Source organism: Homo sapiens, chromosome 1 (assembly GCF_000001405.40).
Source record: "Homo sapiens chromosome 1, GRCh38.p14 Primary Assembly".
Classification (NCBI taxonomy): Eukaryota; Metazoa; Chordata; class Mammalia; order Primates; family Hominidae; genus Homo; species Homo sapiens.
Genome location: NC_000001.11, coordinates 21,025,242 through 21,050,364, shown reverse-complemented (window position 1 = coordinate 21,050,364; position 25,123 = coordinate 21,025,242). Strand labels below are relative to the sequence as shown.

The 25,123-nt window shown below is 40.2% G+C and overlaps 1 protein-coding gene across 64 annotated transcripts in view; it reads left to right on the top strand.

The window, feature by feature from the left end:
• The window catches only part of EIF4G3 (eukaryotic translation initiation factor 4 gamma 3), a 370,606-nt gene that overhangs the window by 126,533 nt on the left and 218,950 nt on the right, over positions 1-25,123 (top strand). The window lies entirely within an intron of this gene.

Genomic DNA, 25,123 nt, shown 5'->3' with positions numbered 1-25,123 from the left:
TGTGAACTCCTTAGTGTATTTCTACTTAATAGTAACAACAGACGTTCAGACACTGTTTAAGGAGGATGTTCCTATGTGTTCCTTGCACTTAAGCTGTTTGCCAAGATATATTGTTTAGCTTGCACCGACCTACTGTTGCAAGCTTGTTTGGATTTCCTTGTGGTTAAAAGTTGGCTAGAGTTATAAAGTCCCTTACAGAATGTGGACTGAGTCAAGCCAATAACGTTGATCTAACTGTGTGAGATTATCAGTATTTACATGTAACAGCTACTCTTTTGATAATGAAAATCATTTTTATAACATTATTTGTGATTTTAGCCTCCATATTTTAGGCCTTTTAGAGATTGAATAATAGGAGAGATCAGGAATTACTAAAAATAATGCTAAAGGTGGTGATTATAAGTTAAGGGCTGATTTTATTTTTTATTCTTCATTATTTTTTAGGGACAATTTTTATTCCTTATTATTTTTTTAAAGACAGGGTCTTGCTCCGTGGCCAAGGCTGGGGTACAGTGGCATGATCATAGCTCACTGTAACCTCTAACTCCTGGGCTCAAGTGATCTTCTTGCCTCAGCTTCCCAGTTAGCTGAGACCACAGGCTCATGCCACCATGCCCGGCTAATTTTTTTCTTTTGGTTAAATTTTTTGTAGAGATGGGGTCTTGCTATGTTGCTCAGATTGGCCTTGATCTCCTGGCCATGTGCTGATTAATTATATTTTAGACTATAGAATGTTTGGAAAAGGAATGTACAGTTTGCCAAACCATGACTGAAATAGCCCTATTAATGAATATAAGTTTGTCAAGAACTTAGTGCTATACCTAAACTTAGTCTAAATCATTCCTATATAATTTGGAGTTTTAAACATTGAAAACAAAACAAAATGAGCTCCTGATTGTTTAAATGAGGTTCCTGTGTTGGGTTTCTTAGACTGAACACAACCTCTCAACTTACTATTAAGGTGTATTAATCTGAGTCTAATCAGGAGAGAAAAACTATGCACTCTCAAGAATATAAGATATAAAGAGCAAACGCTTACCTTAGGGCTGAGTAGAGGCTCAGATAGGGAGCCTTTCTCTGTAGGGTTGAGCCAAAGGCTGTGGTAGAAGAGCCACTGTGGTGCTGTTCAGAACTTGCTGAAACTCTTTGTTCTGGAACTTGCTGGAAATGTGCCCTATGAAGTATTGGGGAAAGCTTTCTTCTCCAGCACCAATCTCTTATAGCCAAGAGCTGATGCAGGGCACAATGGCTAAAAGGCTCCTTACTGCATATCTGTTTCCCACAGACAATTCAAAACATTAGATCCACTGGATCAGAAGTCCCAAGTGGTAGAGCAGCTTGCACTGCCCATCCCAAATTTGCTGTATAACCTTCGTATATTGTGTTCCCTACTCAAAATTGGAAACTTCCTAGGTGACTCTGTAGTCGGTTAAGGTGGCACATTCAGATGTAGTATATATGTTGCCTCTACATCCAAAAAAGGCCTACCAAACCTACGTCTTATTTTTTGTGGTAGTTTTAGGTGAGAGACTGCTACCCCTACCCTGGGCTAAGATCTTGACCTTGTTGGAGAGGGCACGGTGTGGCTTTCTGAATGGGAGTGGTGCCATTTCAGTGGAAGTTACTGAAAATCCACCCTCAGAACTTGTGAGAATTCTGCCCTCTAGGGTGCCGAGGGAAAGCTGTTCGCAGGGAGGTTTCTTAGAAAAGCCACTGTGCTGCGTGTCTTCCTGAGGGAATACCAGGGGTAGCTCTTGGCTGCTGGGTACTGTTGCTTGCTGTGCACTGAAGCAGAAATCTTGCTCTGATGAAGCTATGTCCATGAGGGGAGCTAGTCACTAGAGAAGCCATCTTTTGGAGAAGCTATCTGGGCTGCAGGAGCAACCAGGAACCAGGAACCAGGAACCAGGGAGCAAAACCCTTTCCTTCTACATATCTCTAGAGCCTTCTACTGACAAAACTTAATGTTGTGTCAGCTGAAATGTTAAAATATTTATAGAGCTCAGATCCATTTTCTTATTACAGGCAAACAGTGAATTTTGATATGAAAGACAAGCAGTTGATAACTGGCATGTAAGGGAAATAGCTTAGTTTTCCATTTGAAATTCTTACTGTTTCAAGTTGTGATTTGACCCAAGCAGTTGGCCCAAAGGACTTAAGTTTTCTGAAAGATAGGCTGCTCGCAAATGCATAGTTTGCATTTAAGAAAAGATGGTCTCCTAGCATCTCACTTGTTAAATCCTCAAGTGCTGTTCTATATGCCATTTTACCAGGTGCCTTTAGAAACCAGAGTACATGAATACCAGGGAGAATGGCCACCAAATATTGTGTTGCATTCTTTTGTGGTCTGTTTTGCCACCATTTTGCCTAATCTAATGAATGAACCCAGTAAATCACACCTGGTTCAATGCCCTTTTTTCCCCTCCATCCTTTCAGACAGAGGGAAGCCTCTATGGATTCATCTGTCTCCTAGCAATATGTTAACACTTGTTGATATGGTGAGGAAGTTTTTCTAAACTAGCATACCTGGAAAAATGAAGAGTTCCATGGGAAACTCAAGTTTTTTTTAGGTTTCACAGTTGAAACAGTTTGTAGGGGCAGATGCAAAGCTTCCCTTCTGCCCACTCTGAGGGTTTGCTGAAATGCTGATGATAGATTAATAGGAGAAAAAGGCATACAGATTTATCAATGTGCGTGGACACATGAGAGTCCTACACATATGAAACACGAAGAAGGGAGAGAAGGTTGAGGGCTTGAGTACCCTCTTCATAGGGAAGAGGGAAGCAGGGTGGGGAATGGGCTATCGGGAGTTTTAGAGGGGAAGTAAATGGTTTTTAGGTGAAATGAATGAGTCCAAATTACAATAGTCTTAGACAAAGTTCCTCTGAGCTCCTGGGAGGTGGCGGGAAGGTGAGGAATGAGACTTCAGTGTGAACAAAGGTTGTCTTATTATGAAGGTTAAATCTCCTAAGAGTTACCCCCAAAAGTAAAATGAAAAGTCTGTCTTGATGTGGTGATGGCTTTAGTCTCTTCTGTTTTCCATGATTAATCTTTTGTGATTATTTGATGAGCTTCCATGGGAGGGTGGTCTTAAGACAATTGTGTTTCTTTTGGAAAGACATTTTCTTAGTCATATCTCTGTGCCCCACCAAGTTCATGGATGGTAATGGAAAGAAGAGCGTTCAAAATAGAGGGGAAGGGATTATAGGCTTGAAGTCAAACCATAGGTTCTAGGGCTGGCTTTGTTACTTTCTGGTTATATGATATTGGATAAATTATTTAATATCTCTGGAACTTCGTTTCTTCATCTGTCATATAGGGGGAAATTAGAATTCTACTGCCCTGTAAGAGCGTTGTTATGATGGTTGTGTAAATTCCTGCCTCAGAACAGGATTTCCTAAATTTAGTAAGTGCATTTATTATTTGTATTCCTGCCAGACTTGGTTCTCCTCAAGATTTATATATATGTATGTGTGTGTGTGCATGTATCCTTGCCTGCTAATTCTTTTATTTGGCTACCTGTCGAGATTTAGTGTGAAACTTAGAAGCTATCTCCAAGAGTTTGAAATGTCTTCCATGTCTTTTCTGATGTTCGGATAAAAGTAGGATATTAGGCTTGGTTATTTTCTGTTGGCGGTAATTTGTTTTATTCTTCTATACAAAACAGATTCAGTCAACTGAGGATAAGATCAAAGAAACTATTTTTTAGCTACATGTCCTTTTTGATGTGACAGTCTCCCCTTCTTCTGTGAATTAAATCTTTTTGTCCAAAGTAACTACCTATGTCTGTGACTCAATGTTTGACCCTCAATCTACTAAGGTCTAAGTGAAAGAAGCTAAGCTGAAGAAAAGTGAACTTCATAACTTTGAAACGTGAAAGAGGGAAAATGAAGAATATTGTTTCCAATGTCCTCTGCAATCTCATTACCTGCTTCTTTGTTAAGACAGGATTTTACACATCCACAGGTGCTTCACCACACCTGTGTATGTGCCAAGTTTTAAGGCGTAATGTGCATTTCCCTTTTTTACATGAGCTGTAGTTCTTTCTAGCTTCGTCCTCTCTGGAGATTTTGTTTAATTAGTCAAAGACTTTAGACTATGACATTTCAGACAATGGTAAATTGGTGAGACAGAGTCTTTATAGGCATAGATTCTTTTCAGTTTCCCTGAAATGGCAACACTTTTGAACAATCTTGAAACCCAGCATGTCTGTTCTCTGGGAAGAGTAAATAGTTTGGAATTTAAAAGTACCTTTTGGTGGCAGATTGCAAAGTAAATCTCCCTGGGGAAGTGCACTCTAGGGAGTCAGGAGAAGAGACTCTCTAATTTAGAGTTCCAACCCTCCTACCACTGTTTTATAATTTAACCTATGGAAGTTCCTATTAATGCCCAGTTTTCTTCTTTGTGAATGAGCAGCTTTTGTTAGATGAGATCAGAATTTTCTTTAAGACTTCCGTGGGTTTTGGACACTAACTTGAAAGTAGCCAGTTGTTGTTATGGAAAATTATAAAACTATTTTAGATTTAAAATTACCCAAACTTTGCCTTGTTTCATTCTGTTTTTTTTTTTAAGAGAAGTTTGAATTATTTAAAATTACTTCTCAAGATAAGTAAAAACAAAAGAGACTCCTACTTATTGCTTAATTGGTGATGCACATTTGCTTTAACTTAGTTAATTTTCACGAAGTAGCAATTACAAAACAGACCAAACTGGCGCTGATTAACTAGGATCAAAATCTAGGTCTTTTTTCTCTTGGCATCATTGTCTAGACTTCCAGGCTTTTGGAGCTATATTCACAGTAATTAAGTGAGAAGACATGCTCAAAATGATGCCAAAGAAGTGAGGTAATAGGTGTTATCTGCCTGCTGTTTCTGGATTTCATTTGGCTCTCTGTTTTTTTCTGGGAGAGGAACTCCTTCTATAGCATATAATATATAGTAGCTGAGATGGTGATGGTATATGATCCACTGGTTAGATACTTTATTGTCTCTGGAAATACTAAGCAGAGTTCTTCACTGAGGAGTATTGCTTGATCGTGATGCTTATTGTTACACCACAATTTTCATCATTAGTAAAGGATGAGTTTCAAATGATGAATGGTCCCAACACCCATTTTTGCTTTATCCAGCTTCCGGGAATCTTGTTTTATTTACTAAGGAGAATTTCTCTGTGTTGTCTCATAATTGTTCATTGACTGACTGCTCCAGCCTTTGTAAGCTGTTTTTTTATTTATTTTTTATTTTTAGAGACAGGACCTCACTCTGTCACCCAGGCTGGAGTGCAGCAGTGTGATCATAGCTCACTGCAGCCTTGACCCCCTGGACTCAAGCAGTTCTTCAGGTAGCTGGGACTGTATGCGAGCTCCATGATGGCTGACTAATTTTTTAATTTTTTGCAGAGATGGGACTTGCTTTGTTGCCAAGGCAGGTTTTGTTTCTAAATCCTGGCCTCATACAGTCCTCCAGCCTCAGCCTCACAAAGTAGTGGGATTATAGGCTTGAGCCATGGTGCCCTTCTGAGACCCTGTCTCTACAAAAGATGTAAAAAATACTAGCTAGGTGTGATGGCACACACTTGTAGTCCCAGCTACTTGGGAGGCTGAGGTGAGAGGATCGCTTGAGACTGGGATGTTAAGGCTGCAGTGAGCTGGGATCACACCATTACACTCCAGCCTGGGTGGCAGAGTGAGACCCTGTCTCAAAGGAAAAAAAAAAACAAAAAAAAAAACGAATGAAGTTTAATAGTGATTTTTCCTTACTACATATGCTTTTTTTTCTTTTTGTTACCTTTTGTGAAGAATATAAATTCTGAGTTTGATGCACACTTGTTAACCATGATAAAGTAGAGGAAGCTGTGAAAATTTGCTTTAAGAAAACATCACATTTCATTGTTGAAATAGATGAGTATGGAATTTAATTTAAAAAAAGCAAAATGTATAGTTTTTACACTCCCCATGGCCCCCACTTTGAAACACATCATGTCCATCTAAGGCAGTATTTGAGCTTACCAGGATTCTTTAGCATATCACAAATATAAATATGAATATTTTATAGGCCTTTGTAACTTTTAATGACATTTGCAAAGTCATGTTATTTGTAAAGTGTTTAATGACAATATTTGTTGACACTTTTAAAAAAAAGTAGATTTTTAAGAACTTACACATATTATCAACTTAAAAAAACCAAATGGAGGATTTGTCACCAAGGGGACCAACTCAGTGCAGTCAGTACTGCAGGTGTCCAAACCCACACCAAGTCCCCATGTACCATGAATGCAGCTTCCAAAGAATCATGGTAGGCTTTTCTAATTGTTGAGATTTATTTTAATGTGATACTTGATTGGAAGAGTGTTCAGCTCTTTTGGTCATTTTTTGTTTTTATTTAAAAAATTAGTTGCAACCATATTTATAAAGCAACCTTGACCAAATGTTTTTCTAATAGGTGTTTCATCTCTCTCTCTCTCTCTTTCTTTCCATCCTTCCTTTTTTTTTTTTTGCGCCAAGGTTTCACTCTGTCACCCAAACTGGAGTGCAGTGTGTTTTCTGCTCACTGCAGTCTCCACCTCCCAGGCTCAAGCTATCCTCCTGCCTTAGCCTCCTGAGAGTAGCTGGGACTAACTGACTTTTTGTATTTCTTTGTAGAAACTGGGTTTCCTCATGTTGCTCAGGCTGGTCTCGAACTCCTGAGTTCAAGCAACCCACCTGCCTTGGCCTCACAGAGTGCTAGGATTACAGGTGTGAGCCACCGTGCCTGGCCTAGGTGTTTAATCTTTTATGCAGTCCTGTAACTTACCTTGAAATGTGCCTAAAGCAGCTTTTATATGTTTGATTATACTTCTCTTTGTATTGCCTGTAGCCGAAAAGAATTCCATTTATTTTCTTTTGACATTTCTGTGGTTAGTTTTTAAATGTTGCTGCAAGAGTGATGGTTAAGTACAATTATTTTTCAGACTTCTCACCCTAAGTTTTACATTCTGTTTGGCAAATTCACATGGCTGGAACCCACATTTTATCTAAGTATTAATTCAGCACTATTACAGCAAGCTAAAGAATTTTGTAAGAACCAAACTGATTGTGATTTTGTAAGCATTTCTTTACTTCTGTTTTATGTAGGCTCAGTCTTTTGTTGATGATGTTCATTTTCACTTAAATCCTGTCAAAGGCAAAAGGTTTAGGATTTTGTCTTTTACATTTGAACAGCTGTTTCTTTTGGATGCATCCTGGGAGACTCTTGTTTATTTCTCTGGCTACCTCTCATCTGTTTTAAGAAGTCATGAAAAACTCTGTCAGCGTTTTTCTTGCCAGTTTACCTCTTGGGAATATCACACTTCATTTATTTCCCACAGATTTGGGGGAAAAACTCACTTTAGTGCCACTAATTTATTTTTTATCTGGTTGTGACATTCAGATTTTTAGATTTTTATGGTTCTGAAAATTGCTAATTCAGTTCAGCTGCAGAGATTAGCATGTGTCAGTAAATTTTAGGATGAGAAACAGAACAGGTAAGTTTTAAGAATAATGAAGAAATTGTGCAGTTTGACTCTTCAATTTAAAGTGCTTGTGATAGTTCCTGCAAAAATGTATATGTGATTCAGAGCGTGTTGTGGGGGAAGTGAGCAGACAGAACTCTGAGGGAAAGCTCAGCAGAGAGGTTAAGTACCATAGTAGACATGTATAATATTGTCTTGAGTTTAGTCAGGCAAATGGGTATATATGTCTTTTCAGATTTATTGTAGTGGACGGGAGCATGCTGATTGCTGGGAGAGAAATGAGAAGACAAGCTTGATTCAGGACTGTTTTTATAAGGGATCAAATGAAAAAATTTACTTAAAAGTCACAAACTATAAAATGTAGTGTACAAAGGCTAGCTATCTTTATAGAACTAAGAACTGTGAATTTCAGTGACTCAGCAATCAATAAAAAGTCAATAACACACACATCTTGTAGATGATGGTCATTTTAAATTTTCTCAATGAATAGTAAAGAGAGATTAACTTAGTTATATTTAAAGCAAATAGAATCAATTAAGTATAAAGAATGAATATTATAAATTGATATATAGAACGACTATTAGAAAATAAAAATGTTGGGCTGGGTGAGGTGGCTCTTGCTTATAATCCCAGCACTTTGGGAGGCTGAGGTGGGCAGTTCACTTGCGCTCAGGAGTTTCAGACCAGTCTGGGCAATGTGGGGAAACCCCATCTCTACAAAAATTAGCCGGGTATGGCGGCGTGGGCCTCTCGTCTCACCTGATTGGGAGGCTAAAGTGGGAGCATCCCCTGAGTCCAGAAGGTCAAGGCTGCAGTGAGCCATGCTTGTGCCACTGCACTCCAGCTTTGGCGGCAGAGTGAGACCCTGTCTCCAAAAAAAAAAAAAAGAAAAGAAAAGAAATTTGTTATAATTTACTCACTAAACCAACAAACTTTTTTTCTCAGTGCATACATTTATTTACGTTTTTTTCCCTCTAATGTCTAGTCATGCTTATAATGTAACACGAAGGGCTAAGTCTGATTTCCAAGCTTTTCATCAGTTGATGGACCCTTTTCTCTGTGAAGAATGATGAACTCTCAAGCTATCTAAATTCTGTCTCCCTTGTGTGTGTGTTCTCTGTAAAGTAGTTTGTTTCATAGAAAACCCCTAAGTAGGTGACATATTGCAGAAACCATGTTGCCAACATTTTGTTATACTTTTCATGTAAAACATATTTCCATTTCTCTTCACTGCCAGTGTTTCTCCAGTTTCAAGTACTACACTATATTATTCAAAATTCTGTTTATTACTCCACATCTTACTACTCTTAATCACCATGAAAATTGCCCATCTTCTTTTATAGTTCAGTTTCAAATTTTCACATGCCTGTTTAGTGCAGTTGTCATAGTCTTAGTAAGAAATAAATTACACTAAACTATTTCAAATGGAGAGGATTTTTAATACATGAATTTGTTATACTGGCTGAATGATTAATAAGGGGGATGCTGAGGCTGGGCATTGTGGTTCACACCTGTAATCCTAGCACTTTGGGAGCCTGAGGTGGAAGGATAGCTTGAGCCCAAGAGTTCGAGATGAGCCTGGGCAACATAGTGAGACTTGGTCTCTACAAAAAATAAAAATAAAAAGGAGGATGCGGAGGTAATCTAGAGATTAATAACTGCAGAAAGCAGCTGACATCCCTGAGAGAAAGTCAGGAAAGGGGAAATACAAAGTAAATGTGATAAGACATCTGGACTGTGAAACATATTCATAACTGTTAAAATTAAAATGTAGTCGAATTAAATTTAAAGGAGTTTAATTGAGCAGTGAATGACTGGTGCAGGCATCCCCCAGAATCACGGCAAATTCATAGAGACTCTAGGGGTACCTTCTGATCAGAACAAATTTATAGACCAAAAAAAGGGAAAGTGTTAAAAAAAAAAATCAGAAGTGAGGTACAGAAACACCTGAATTGGTTACAGGGTGACGTTTGCCTTGTTTGAACACTCAGCAGTCTATGATTGGTTGAAGTATGGCTGCTGGGATTGGCCAAGACTCAGCTGTTTTTACAGCTGCATACTCTTTAGGTTTTCAGTCTTGTCTGCCTTTTAAGCTGAGTTAGGGTTCATCCACAGGGACTCAGATTTAAAAGTACGGAGTCCTTCTCAGACCATATTTAGTTCGCTTTAACAGAACTGTAATAACAACACAGTTAAATTATCTCAATTCATTGGTCAAATCTCAACTCAAATTGGTCAAAAACCAAAATCTAGGAATATGCATTTAAACTTGACACAGAAAGATTAAAAACATTCCTCTAGACTGCCTTCCCACCCCTTCAGATACCAGCCATACGTCCCGGCCTCTGGAACTTTTGACTGACTGGCTTCAATTTGGGGATCTCATGATCCCCTCTTTGGGTTTGATAAATTTGCTGGAGCAGCTTACAGATCTCAGGAAAACATGTTTACTTGTTTATTATAAAGGATATCACAAAGGATACAGTTGAAGAGATGCCTATGGTAAGGTATGGGGGAAGGGGCACAGAGCTTCTCTGCCCTTCCTTGGTGCACCACCCTCCAGCAACTTCCATGTGTTTGGTTACGTAGAAGCTCACTTAACCGTGTCCTAGGTTTTTTGGAGACTTCATTATGTGCATGATTGGTTAAACTGTTGGCCACTGGTGATCAACTTGACCTTTAGCCCCTCTCCTTCCCCTGAGGTTGGGGGTCCGACTGAAAGTCCCAACCCTCTAATCATGCCCTTGTGATGATCAACTCTAGCTGTCAGTCAACATTAGCATACAAAAAGACAGACGTTGGCGATTCTAAGGTTTTTAGAAGTTGTGTGACAGGAATCAGGATGAAGACCAAATATGTATTTCATAATATCACTGTGGTGGTGTCAGAAACTTTACATGCTGAGGTGTGAGCAGAGAGAGTGTATCTATAAAATGTTTGCATGTCACTAACGATTATTGATTTAGAACATCTTTTAAAGTGCTTATTGGCCATTTGTCTATTTTTGGAGAAATGTCTATTCAAAGCCCTTTGCCCATTTTTTAATTGGGTTGCTTCTTTCGTTGTTGTTGAGTTGTAGGAGTTCTTTATATGTTCTGGATATCAATTCCTTATCAGTTATGTGATTTATATATATTTTATCCTATCCTGTCAGGTGCCTTTTCACTTTGTTGATAGTGTTCTTTACAGAAAGTTTTTAATTTTTGGATTTTTTTGAGACAGGTCTCATTCTGTACACCAGTCTGGAGTTCAGGGTGTTGGAAATAACTCACTGTAGCTTCCGTCTCTGGGATACAAGGGATCCCCCCAGCTTATCCTCCCAAGTAGCTGGGACGACAGGCATGTGCCACCATGCCTCGCTCACAAGTTTTTAATTTTGATAAAGTCTAATTTATCTTTTGTTGTCTGTGCTTTTGGTGTCATATCTAAGAAAACATTGCCAAATTTGATGTTCTGAAAGTTTCCCCCTATGTTCCTTTGTTGGAATTGTATACTTTTAGCTCTTACATTTAGATCTATGATTCATTTTAAAAATTTTGTTTTTCTGTGTTCTCTCACAGAATGGAACTATGATTCATTTGATTTAATTTTTATGTATGGTTTAAGATAAAGGCCTGGCTTCGTTTTTTTGGCATGTGGCTATCCAGTTTTTCTAGCACCATTGGTTGAAAAGACTGTCCTTTACCCGTTGAATAGTCTTGGCACCTTTGTCAAAAATCATTTGACCACGTATGTGAAGGTTTATTTCCGGGCTCTTTTCTTTTCATTGCTCTGTATGTCTGTCTGTATGCCAGTACCATACTGACTTGATTCTTGTAGCTTTGTAGTAAGTTTTGAAATCCAGGTTTGAGACGTTTAGGTTTGTCCTCCTTTTTCGAGATTGTTTTGGCTATTGGGGGACCCTTGAGATTCCATATGAATTTTAGAATGGGCTTTTCTATTTTCCCAAAATTTGTTTTTGGGATTTTTATAGGATTCTGTGTATTTAAAAAAAAATATGTTTCATAATGGACACAACATTCTTTTTCTAAGTAGGTGAAGAAAGCATCATTGCTTGAGAGTGGAATTAAGATGTAGTATTCACCTTAATAAAGAACTTATACATAACTTTTATAGACACTCCCAAGAACTGGGAATGTTCTAGTTAATGATTCCCTTCGTAGGTACTTAAAAATCTAATTTGAAGTCCTAGTTCTAAGAGAAACAGAGAGAGAGAAGAAAGAAAGAAATTAGTGGAGTAGGAGGTGGTCTGAATTAGGGGTATATCAGGACCTAGAGTGAAGATTATGTCTAGTGGTCTCGTGTGACAAATGAATGAGAACTCTGGCTAGGGATGTTTTAGCTGAGATGTAGAAGAAGAAACTGACAGGAAACCAGAGACTATGTAAAGGTGGGAGAAATGAGGGGAAGAAATTAGTAGAGATAATCGTGGTGGCTATCAGTAGTAGGTCCAGAGAGGGTCCTAAATAGCAGCCATTGAAGTAGGAAGTGGAGAGCCAGCATTGCAGACATTGTAGAATACTTTTGTTGGGAATTCAGTGAACCAACAGCATCTCTTTATCAGTACACTGGTGCTTTTAGCCCACAGTCTTGGGGGAACTGGTCCTGGGATTGGAGAGAAAACTGAGTTGTCATGCTGTATAAGTAAAAGCTAAGCTTTGAATAGTATAGTTGCTTTTGAGAGAACACAAGTAGCCTGTGATCAAGCTATCCTATTATGTGAGTCTATTATTGTCTTCTGAGGGGCAGAAAGCCATAGCATTTCAATGTTGAACTAATTATAAAGAGTACAAAAATGGTGATGATTTCAGTAGTGTTTCCCTGCTCCATATAGTATCACTGCTCAGAAGTGAGAAAGAGTTTGATCAGTGGTTTTCATTTCTGCCTTCCCACTTAGAATCACCTGATGCCTGGGTCCCCTTCTCCAGAGATTCTCATTTAATTGCTTGGGATGAGCCTAGGTAATGCTAATGTGCACCCAGCATTGAGACAAAGCTGTGGAACAGTGCCTTTTCCCTCCTCTAATCCCACAGCCGATTAGGAACAGTGCCTTTTGATACATATTGCCCAAATGATACTTTATAGGCTTTGTTTGCTGAGGATGGTTTTCACTGAAAGGAGCAAGATGCCCCCATTTTCAGATCTTATACAAGCAAAGTGAATTGGGCTAGTCTTAATTTAGGGAAAGTAGCTCTGGTGATTGAGAAGACATTTCTGTTCAGTAGCTAAAACAGACTGTTACAGCTTTTTTACAGATAATATGCTTTGCATCGTGGTCTGTACTCAGAAGGTTTTTACGGTATTGATTTTATATGCCAATTTATTTTGGTGATAGAACCAAATTATACCCTGCCAGGTACTATGTAATTGACTCTTCTGATTCACCCAGAATAAGAGTGGGTGTTTTTTGCTTCCATACAATCAGATACGCCTAGATTTAAAGTTATACTATAGTGTTTTCAAACTGTTAAAAGCAGCCAAACTGCTTCCCCCCATATGACGAGCAGTGCCTGATCCATAGTAAGCCCCTAAATAGTTGAATGAAAACTAGCTGTAAATGAAATTTTCCAGAAGTGTCACTTTTTGGCTGTTTGCAGTGTGGATGCTTTATTTGGCGCAATAGCTTTTTTTTTTTTTTTTCCTTTTTCTGACTGGTACTGTTAATTTTGTACAGTTCAGTAAAAGTTTACCAGTACAAGCTTAACTTAAAAAGAGCCAAATACTCTAAGCCACCCTTAGAGACCTTATTCTGTGAGGGTCTGGGAATCTTAATATTCCAGCTGTTCTGTCATTGTGAATCAAATAATTAAGACTTAATTGCTAAGCTGGAAAAGTCTTTTTTAGGATGCCATGACAGAGATTTAGGTCTTTTAAACCAGTTCAGTACTATACTGAATAGAGAATTTCTTACTTTTTCTGAGTAGGTGATCTCATTGTTTAGTATGAATATTTCTAGAATGTAACTCATAAATAAGCTTTTATTTTATTATTTTTTTAGAGGTGGAGTCTCACTCTGTCTCTAGGTTGGAGTGCAGTGGCACGATCTTGGCTCATTGCAACCTCTACCTCCTGGGCTCAAACCATCCTCCCACCTCAGCCTCTCAAGTAGCTAAGACTATAGGTGCATGCCACCACACCTGGCTAATTTTTGTATTTTTTTGTAGAGACGGGGTTTTGCCATGTTGCCCAGGCTGGCCTTGACCTCCTGAGCTCAAGCAATCCACCTGCCTCAGCCTCCCAAAGTGTTGGGATTACAGGTGTGAGCCACTGCGCCCAGCCCACAAATAAGCATTTATATAGAGACATGGTATGGTGGCTAGGTATAAAGAAATACCATCTCTGTGTAACTGATTTTAAATATTAAGGTGTTTAAAGAAAGGTAATGAGAGATGATGATTCATGCTCTTTTTTTTGTACTAACATTACGGGATCTTTGGGGTGTCACTTTTCTGGCCAGAAACCTCTGTGGCCTGTGGCACCTTTGCCTGAGTTCTTGTCCTGCGTCCAGGAAGATTGAGGTATGCAGACAAGTGTAGAGTGTACAAGATGAAGAGGAGCTTTACTGAGTGTCAGAGCAGCTCAGAGGAGACCTGCAGTGGGCAGTTCCTCTCTGTAGGCAGGTCATCTTGTTGAGTGTTCGACTCTCGGCAGAGAGGAGGCCCTAGAGTGGGTGGCTCCTCTCGTCAGCCAGGTTGTCCCATTGTCTCTGCAGCTCTCAGCAGAGAGGAGGCCTGCAGTGGGTGGCTCCTCTCTGCCTTTGGTCGTCCTGATGTCTGTTGCTCTCAGCCAGAGAGGAGGCCCTGGAGCAGGTGGCTTCTCTCTGTAGGCAGGTCATTCCAGTGTTTGCAGCTCTCAGCAGAGAGGAGGCCCTAGAGAGGGTAGCTCCTCTCTACAGCTGGTCATCCTGATGTCTCTCCTTCCTCTGCCCTGCTCTGGTTGAGCCTGAGGCTTTTATGGGCCTTACAGGGGAGGTGGTGCATGCCAGTTGGTCCGTGGGCAGCCCAGAAAAGGCACCACAAGTCCCCACTCTGGTCCATGGGATGGGTAGCCCACCCCTAGCCTTCAGAACCTCCCTGGCAAAAGGTGGGGCCTCACTGAGGACTCGCCCCTTCTGGCACAGGAGCCCATTTGCCTCCCACCACTGCCTATGGCCCCCAGGTTACTTGTGCCAAGGGATGCCCACAGGCTATCGCTGAACTGCCCCCCTGCCCTATCTTGGCCACTCTCCTGTGGTCTTTGGCACCCAAAGTTTGGAGGGGCCAAGCTGGAAGGGACCCAGCGGGTCAGTGCTGCCCTGAGCCTATGCATACCTGGCTGGGCTGCAACAGTGCCCGGGCTTGGCCCCAACCCCAATTGGAGACCAGAGCAGATGCTGGGAGTGGGGAGAGGCCAGGCAGCAGGAGCAGACACCCCTGAGCCTGTGGTGACAGGGGCTCTCCCAGGCCCCTGAGAGCATTGAGAGGCCTGGGCCCACAGCCATGACCTGAGTGGCTGGAGCTGTGCCTGGGGAGCTCCTGCCCTGCCAACTCAGGAGGGGTGGGACTCCTGCCTGTCCCCGGCTGCAGAGTACACAGCCTTAGCTGTGCTCCTTCTCTGTGTCTTCCCATAGCCACGGCAGGTAAGGTGCAGGTGGCATGGTGGCCCTGGCCAGCCCTGCACAAATGAACCTTTGGCTCCCAGGACACGGCCAGAAGTGAGGTTGAGGCTGCAGTGGCCTCAGGCCTGGGAGTGGGTCCTACCCAGCTGTGCCAGGGTGGGGGTGGCACAGTTGGCTTCCTTGGGGACATGGGCACAGGGGTCCTACTGCTGCTCCTACAGCCACTCCTGCTGCCCTGTCCCGCCTCCTTGCCACCTGGGGTGGGGCTCCAGGCCCTCACCGGGCCTGGACTGGCATCCAGGGCAGGGGTGATGTCGTTGCAGGGTCCCCCTGCAGCCCCAGGGCTCCCCCTTGCCTGGCTTACGACCCTGCCAGGGTGGCGCCTCTGGGAGCAGATTCTGGGCCCAGGCCCAGCCACCAGGAGTGCCAGGCTCAGCAGACACCCTGACATGGGGCAGATCCTGGGGACACGATCTCCGGTGGTGCCAATCTGAGCCTACTGCCGAAGTACGGGAACCTGGTACCATCCCAGGGCCACAGGCCCCATGTACCATTCGCCTTGGTGTCTATACCTGAGCACCTGTGGCCTGCGGCCGCACCCCACCTCTGCCAGTGCCATGTCAGCAGCCACTTTGTATGGTCCATCACTGCAATCACTAAGATAGTATTTCAGTTTACAGAGTATTATGTGAAATTGGTTTACTTGGCAAAATTGTCTCATACTATAATTCTGTTTTATAGTGATAAATATTTTTAGAGTTTGGTTGATAGAATGGCATCACAAATACAGCTGTTGAATGGGTGATGAATAATATTAAAGTGTACTTCAATTTGTGTAGAGTACTGCTCATTAAATATCTGTTTTTGAAGTAACAGAGTAAGAATAATTGGATGGTCGTAATGTAGAATAAAACACATACTGTGACTTAAATGAATGTTTTGAGTTGCTTAAAACATTCATTAAAAAATTTCCAAAAGTTACAATTAAGTAAGAGCAATATTTGTGGTAGATAACATTTAAAATACAGCCTTTTTTATTTTCAAGTACTAATGTCCCTGGTGTTGAAAAGAGATCCCATTCAGAAATAAATAATCTCTCTACTGGAGCTCTTCTTGAAGAGTCCTCAAGTACAGCCCAACAATTGAACTGTGATAAATTCCCAGAAAAAAATTTTCTTTGTTACTTTCAGACAGTCTCCCTCTGTCATCCAGGCTGGAGTGTGTTGTCATAATCATAGTTCTTGAACTCCTGGGCTCAAGGGATCCTCCCATCTCAGCCACCCTCACCTCAGCCTCCCAAGTAGTTAGTACTACAGGCACATACCAGCACACCCAGCTAATTTGTAAAATTTTTTTTTATAGAGGCAGGGTCTCACTGTATTGCCCAGGCTGGTCTTGAACTCACCTTAGTCTATCCTCCCTCCTTGGCCTCCTGAAGCGCTGGGATTACAGGCATAAGCTATCACGCGTGGCCTTTTTATTCTTATTGATCTAACTAGAAAGATTGATCATACAGTATTCCCGATGTTCTCTTCATCACCACCTTCAAACTATAAACTGTGGAAAAGAATTTTCAGTTTGCTATAGTATAAAGGCTGCATTACATAAAGTGAAGTATGTTTTCAAAACAGAGACCTGGCTGTGAATCACAGTTCTATCACTTACTAATTGTGAGATCTTTCATAAATTGAACCTTATTCCACGTGGAAGTCCTGCCATTTGTTCAATAGAAATAACAGTGCCTGCATCATAGGATGCTAAATAAATGTTCCTTGCCTGTCTTTTGTTGCAGTAGCTTTGGCGTATTTAACTTTTTTTTTTTTAAGTTCAGAATTCTAGAGAATGAATTCTTTATCTGCTCTGCTGTTAGGTTTCAATATCATGTTTCTGGAACTTTTTCTTAACTCTTTCATATCAGTTTATGATACTTTAATCATCATTACTGAAAACCAGATGTTACTAATAGGTATTTATATCATGAAATATTATTTCCTAATATTGTTAAAAGATTTCATTAGTTTGACTCTTACCGTATTTATTATGTGTGATTTATTTTTCCTGCATTGTTGTTTAAAAAATAAAAACAACAAAAACTTACACATCAGGTAAAACTGATATATAGAGTAGTTTAGAAATCCCAGGATAACCACTCAGAAAGTCATGGTGATTACCTTGATGTCATCTAGAAACATAGTGAGGTTACTGTGTAAAGTTTTCCAGAAATCATTCAGCAGTGTTAGCTGTTAAGCAAATATTAGAGCACATGAAAAGGAAAAATTCTGACTTAGTAGGCATATCTGTTACTAGTTTCTTTGAGAAGCAGTCCGTCATTGTATTATGATGGATTTGGGAAAGAGTTCAAGTGCTAAAATAGTTCATAAGGAAAAGAATTCATTTCTGGTTTATGTATGCCAGCTTTTATTTTGTGAGGTGGATTATGGCCTCTTGATCGTTATTCTGTACCATATTTTCACTCCCTTTTTTCACTCCGTTTTTTTTAAAAGCTATTTTTGTTCATAAACTCTGTAGAATTGTAGGCAGAAGAAATTACACATGACATCTGATCCATTGGTATTGCTTTTTGTTAGTAACTCTTCATAAATAGAATTCAAGATGAAAACATTTGAAGAACATAACCTGAAATAATGGTTTGGCCTTTCTGAAAAGTCTGGTTTTGCCCAGTCTTATTGTAAATCAGTATAAGACTTTTTTTTTTTAATGGCTGAAACATTTTTTCCTAACTAAATCAAATAAAACAATAATTTTTCATCTTCAAGGTAGATATGAGGAAGAAGATGAAGAGAGGATGCACTATCTATTAATATTTGGCTAGATTAATTGTATTTGTTTACATTGAAGTTTGATTCACATTTATCCCAAGTCATCCATTAGAACCATGCTGAGGATTAGATAGACTTTGAATTGTAATGTACATTTTTTAATTTATTAGATGAGCAGTGTCATGAGGAATGAATAGTTCTGCCAAAGATAACTAATAATTACTATTTTTCACCTTTCATGCCTATCCTTTTGCTGGATTTTATGAGGATAAAAAATTATAAGCAATCGGCTTGTCTGCAGGGAAACATCTGTGCTATAATTTCCAGCGTTAATGGATATAGTAGAAAAGTTGGAAATGATTTAAAAAGATGAAGTCCATGGAGGTTTATTTTGGTAAATAGGATTTATGTGTTTTGATTTCTCTTTAAACCTGTTTTTAAAGCTATTTTATTGAATACGTTTTCTTCCTCTCCACCTGAAGCAACAAATAGCAAGATTCTTTTAGAGGTCCATTCTTAATACAACTATTTGGATGCCTGGTATTTGTAGAGTACATACTGTATGTTAGATGTAAATTGATTTATTTGGGAAAGACCACCACACAAAGTTATTATTTTCCTTATGAACTGCCACTTGTATATTTAAGTCATTTGTTTCTCTGAGAAGAATATTCTAAAGTTTATGTGACTTTGTATTCTAAATTTCAGAAGAATTAGGAGCTTAGTCCTAGAATCAAGAAATTCTGCTTCTGCTATTTATTAGTTATCTGGATATACTTTTTATTTTATAGGGGTGAGATTGCTTGTAGAATCTCTCTCTGCTAACATCCTGTTACTGGACTTTTTGGCAAGTCCTTTTTGTTGTCATATTTTTTCCTTACACACTTTCTTTGAACTCTTCCTCCATCTCCTTACTCTGTGGAAATTTATGTAACACTACTTTCCTTAGAAATCCTTCCACTTCAACATTGTTAGTGTTCTTATATTCTTTATATCTTGGAAGGCAACTCAGCAACCTCCTGGCCCTTCACCGCTTTCTGTAGGTTGTTTGCCTGCAACCCTTGTGCCGAAAATGCATAAACAGCTCTCTCTCCCTCTTTTTTTTTTTTTTTTTTGCCATCATTCCTCATTTTTCTGGACCCATTTTCTCATTGTTTGAGAATTTTAGTGTCTGGCTCATAATTTACTTTTCTGTTTTGCTTTCTGCCATCCACAAAGATGACTTGTGACATTCATTGTTGTGCTGTCCAACCATTGCCTGTGGGCTCCTGGATCTACCCTGTTTGTTGTTGTTGTTGTTGTTGTGTTTTTTTTTTGAGACAGTCTCACTCTGCTGCACAGGCTGGAGTGCAGTGGTGTGATCTTGGCTCACTGCGGCCCACACCTCCTGGGTTCAAGTGATTCTCCTGCCTCAGCCACCCAAATAGCTGGGATTACAGGCATGTGCCACGCTGCCTGGCTAATTTTTGTATTTTTAGTAGGGGTGGAGTTTCACCATGTTGGCCAGGCTGATCTTGAACTCCTGACCTCAAGTGATCCACCCACTTCAGCCTCCCAAATTGCTGGGATTACAGGCATGAGCCACCACACCCGGCTGATCCTTTTTTCTTCCCATTCTTTGCCTCCCAATAGCAACTGTATATAGACACATATTCAGCAATCTATATGGACACAGTCTAGATCTGCACTGTCCAATGTGGTCGCTATTAGAGCCACTGTGGCTTTTGAGCACTTGAAACATAGTTTCTGCAAATTGAGATGTTTTGTAAGTGTAAAACACAAAATTAATTTCACCAGTTTTAAGTTTTTCTAATCTGGTGACCTAGAAAATTTTAAATTACTTACTTGTGTGGTTTGTATTGTATTTTTTATATTTTTGTTACGAGCACTGGCCTGGACCTGGTCTCTACTGATGTATTAGTCCATTTTCAGGGTGCTGGTAAAGATATACTTGACACTGGGCAATTTACAAAAGAAAGAGGTTTGTTGGACTTGGGCTCCACATGGCTGGGGAGGCCTCACAATCATGGCAGAAGGCAAGGGAGAGCAAGTCACATCTTACATGGATGGCAGCAGGCAAAAAGGGAGCTTGTGTAGGGCAACTCCCATTTCTAAAACCATCAGATCACGTGACACCCATTCACTATCAAGAGAACAGCACAGGAAAAGACCTGCCTCCATAATTCAGTCATCTCTCACTGGGTTCCCCCCATAACACATGGGAATTATGGGAGCTTACAAGATGAGATTTGGGTGGAGACACAGAGCCAAACCATATCAGCTGAGAACTGCTCTGCCTTTGAATTCTTGAAGTCTAAAATTTCTCCAACCAGCCCAGTGGCTCATACCTGTAATTCCAGCACTTTGGGAGGTTGAGGCAGGATGATCACTTGAAGCGAGGAGTTTGAGGCCATCCTGGGCCTCAAACATCTGGTCCAGCAAAGCAAGACCCTGTCTCCACAAAAAATTTTTAAAAATTAGTTGGGCATGGTGTTTTACACCTGTAGTCTCAGCTACTTGGGAGGCTGAGGTAGGAGGATCCCCTGAGCCCAGGAGTTCATGGCTCACTGCAGCATGATTGTGCCACTGTGCTCCAGCCTGGCAACAAAGTGAGACCCTGTCTCAAGAATAAAAAATAAAATAATAAATAAATAACATTTTTCTGACCATAGTCTTTGTTCCTTTTTCCTATCCCATGCCAGTCCTGTTATACCTATTTCACAGCCTACAACCTTTTAATTCTTTAATCCATTTCTTTTCTCAAGATGGCAGCCCCTTTCTGCCTTCACTTTCTCTTATTTACCCTTGATCCTATCACTAACTACTATAACTTTATTTTTATAAAACCACTAGTTCTCTTTGTTTTAAAAAAATCAAACTAATGGTTTATTTTGTAGTGATGAGGTCTTGCTATGTTGTGCAGGCTTGTCTCAAACTCCTGGCTTCAAGTGATCCTTCTGCCTTGGCCTCCCAAAGTGTTAGGATTACAGGCGTGAGCCACTGCACCTGGCCCACTAGTTCCCTTCCCCCCCCCGACTCAATTTCTCTTTCTTCCCAGTTCTCGTCCCTGAATCTAACTCAGCAGGTCTTTTCCTCTGTTCTTGCTCCCAGGATGGATGGCTCTGCTTTGGAAATTCCATTACCTGTGTTCGTGGAGTCTAATTAAAACTTTATGATTGGGGCCAGGCATGGTGGCTCATGCCTGTAATTCCAGCACTTTGGGAGGCTGAGGCAGGCGGATCACGTGAGGCCAGGAGTTCAAGACCAGCCTAGCCAAAGTGGTGAAACCTTGTCTCTACTAAAAAATATAAAACATTAGCTGGGTGTGGTTGTGTGCACCTGTGGTTTCAGCTACTCGGGAGGCTGAGGCATGAGAATCGCTTGGACCTAGGGGGTGGAGGTTGCAGTGAGCCGGGATCACGCCACTGTACCCCAGAGCGAGACTTTGTTTGGGCCAGGCGCATTGGCTCAAGCCAGTAATTCCAGCACTTTGGGAAGCTGAGGCTGGAGATTCACTTGCGGCATCCAGGAGTGAGAGGTTACGATGAGCTGTGATCATGAACTCCCGCTTGGGCAACAGCAAGACTGTATCTCAAACAAAAAATTAATGATTTATTAATACAGCTGGTCTAAACTCTATTTAGGTATAATATAGCTACAACTTAGCTGCTTGATAATCTTTTTAGTAATCACTAATTGACTTTCAGTCATATCCTGAACTGTGCTTACTTCAGTACTAGGTTGGTCACCAACAGCTCGACAGGCCATACACTGTATATAGCTTGTGAAGTTATGTATCATGAGTAGCTCTGCTTCACCTTGTCTAATTCTGCTGCTTACTGTTTGTTGAAACACCTGTGTTTTACAATTTATTATGACATGTTTAAGCTTATAAAAGTATATTGTAACGTGTTTGGTTTGAAAGGATAATCATAACACAACCAACCACCACTCACCTTAAGTCGATTATCAATATCTTTGAAGCCACTCTGTATTCCTCCTTTATCTCAGCTGCCTCTTTCTCCCTAGTGGTAACAATTATCCTGAGTTTTGTATAAGTAGATATTTGTTTTATAATTTCACTGGTGTCTGCATTTTGAGGTTTACATTTTGAATTAGCCATCATGTGTGACCTTGGGCAACTTACTTTATTATCTCTGAACCTTTCTCTTTTTTTTCCCAATTTAAAAAATTGTGTTAAAATGCAAATAGCACAAAGTTTAAAATCTTAACCCCATTTTTAAGTGTACATTTTAAGTATACATTGATAATATGCAGTGATCACACGATCCATCTTTATAACTCTTTTCTTTCATCTTGTAAAACTGAAAGTCTATACCCATTAAACAATAACTTCCCTTTGACCCCTCCCTTTGCACCCTGGCAACAGCCATTCTCCTGTCTGTCTGTGGCTTTGGCTATTCTTTAACTACATCATATAACTGTTATCATACAGTAGTTGTTTGTGCCTGGCTTATTTCACTTAGCATATTGTCCTCAAGTTCCATCCATTTTGTAGGATATGTCAGAATTCCCTTTCTTTTTAAGGCTAATGTTTCACTTTATCTATGGTACCATATTGTGCTTATCTATTCATTTGCTGATGCATACTTGGTTGGCTTTCATGTTTTACCAGTTATGAATAATAGTGATATGAATGTGGATGTACAAAGAACTCCCTTAAGACCTCGTTTTCATTTATTTAGAGTGGATACTTGGAAGTGGAATTGCAGAACTGTATGGTTATTCCTATTTTTTGTGAAAATGCCATACTGTTTTCCACAATGGCTGTACCTATTTTACATTCCTACCAACAGTGTGCAAGAGTTCCACTTTCTCCACATCTTTTACAACACTTTTCCTTTTTTTTGAGATGGAGTCTTGCTGTGTTGCCCAAGTTGAAGTGCAGTGGGGCGATCTCGGCTCACTGCAACCTCTGCCTCCTGAGTTCAAGCGATTCTCCTGCCTCAGCCTCCCAAGTATCTGGGACTACAGGCCCGTGCCACCATGCCCGGCTAATTTTTTGTATTTTTAGTAGACACAGGCTTTCACTGGGTTAGCCAGGATGGTCTCGAACTCCTGACCTTGTGATCTGCATGCCTTGGCCTACCAAAGTGCTGGGATTACAGGCACGAGCCACTGTGCTGAGCATGGTGGCACGCACCTGTAGTCTCAGCTACTTGGGAAGCTGAGGCAGGAGAATCACTTGAACCCGGGAGGTGGAGGTTGCAGGGAGCTGAGATCTTGCCACTGCACTCCAGCCTGGGCGACAGAGCGAGACTCTGTCTCAAAAAAAAAAAAAAAAATTGTATGTGTGTATGTACACATATATATACTAGCCATCTTGGTGTGAGGAGGTGATATATACCAATATAGTATTGATTTGTATTTCCTTAGGATTAGCATATTTTCATGGGCTTGTTGGCCATTTGTGTATGTCTTTTTAATAGAAATGTCTATTCGTGTCCTTTGCCCATTTCTGAATCTGATTGTTTGCTTTTTTGTGATTGAGTTTTAGGAGTTCTATATATTCAGGATATTAACTTTTTTTTTTTTTTTTTTTGAGACAGTGTCTCCCTCTGTCACGCAGGCTGGAGTGCAGTGGTGCGATCTCAGCTCACTGCAACCTCCGCCTCCTGGGTTTAAATGATTATCGTGCCTCAGCCACCTGAGTATCTGGGATTGCCATTCCTGGCTCATTTTTGTATTTTTAGTAGAGACAGGGTTTTGCCATGATGGTCAGGTTGGTCTCGAACTCCTGGCCTCAAGTGATTTCCCCACCTTGGCCTCCCAAAGTGCTGGGATTACAAACAGGCCATGGTGCCCAGCCCAGGATATTAACTTTTTAACAGGTGTACAGTTTACAAATATTTTCTCTTCTTCTGTAGGTTGCCTCTTGACTCTCTTGGTGTAATATCTTTCGATGCACAAAAATTTTAAATTGTTAATATGCCCAAGTTGTCTACTTTTTTTTTTTTTTGCTTCTGCCTTTGGTATTGTATCTAAGAAGTCATTGCCAAATCCAGTGTTTCAGAGCGTTTTCTCTCTGATTTCTTCTCAGATTTTTTTACTTTTAGCTCTTACATTTTGGTCTTAATCTATTTTGACTTAATTTTTGTATTTGGTGTTAAGTGAGGGTCTAACTTCATTCTTTTGCATATGTATATCTAATTTCTCCCAGAACCATTTGTTGAAAATGTCCTTTCCCCATTGAATGGTTTTGGTACCCTTTTCAAAAATCGTTTGAACATATATTTGTGGGTTTATTTCTGGGCCATTTTTTCCCATTTCTAATTACTTTTGGTTTATTTTTACACCAGTACTGCACTTTTCATTTTTGCAGATTTGTAATTTTGAAATCTGGAATTGTGAGGCCTCCAGCTTTTTTCTTTTCAGCTATTGTTTTGGCTATCCAGACTTCCTTGAGAATACATATGAATATCAGGATGGGGAGTTTTTCTGTTTTTGTAGAACACACCATTGGGATTTTGATAGAGATTGCATTGAATCTGTAAGTCACTTTGGGTTGTATTGGTATATTAACAATATTAAATCTTCCAGTTCATGAACAGGGGATAATTTTTTGTTATTGGGTTTTTAGGTTATCTCATCCACTCTCATGGCAAGGACTGTTGGTTATGTTTGCTGATTCTTAGTTCATTCTGGGTTGACTCTGCTCTCTTCATGCCTAATTACTCTGTAGACTTTTGTACCTAGAGATCTCTTTGACATTAAAACTCTCCATAATATAAATGAATTCATCACTTTTTTATTCAAAGCAGAGAAAACAACTATTGCAGAAGCCTTGAGAGAAAAAAAAGTTGATATATTTGAGAGAATAAAATAAGGCCAGTATGGCTGGACAGTAATGGTATGTGAAGTGAAGTCAATGATAGCCTGGGACCCAATCATTTTGGGTTCTGTAAGCATTCTTCACCATCTAATCCTCAAACCTTGGAGAAGCAGCTTTCTTCCCCTTATATTTAGGTGCTCAGAAAATCCTGCTGTTTCTATAATATATGAATTAACTCCCAAATCTGCCTTTTTTTTTTCTGTCGAGATCCACTGCTGTTATCAGGCCCTTATCACTATGTACCTGGGCTGTCGGAATAGATCCCTGTTTGATATCTTGACACCAGTATCTTCACTAAGAGTTCATATTGTTGTAATGGCTCTCTTTTTTAAACAAATTGGATGATATTTCTGCCCTGTTCAACATCTCCTAGGATTACCTTCATGGCGAAGTCCTTACTTGACC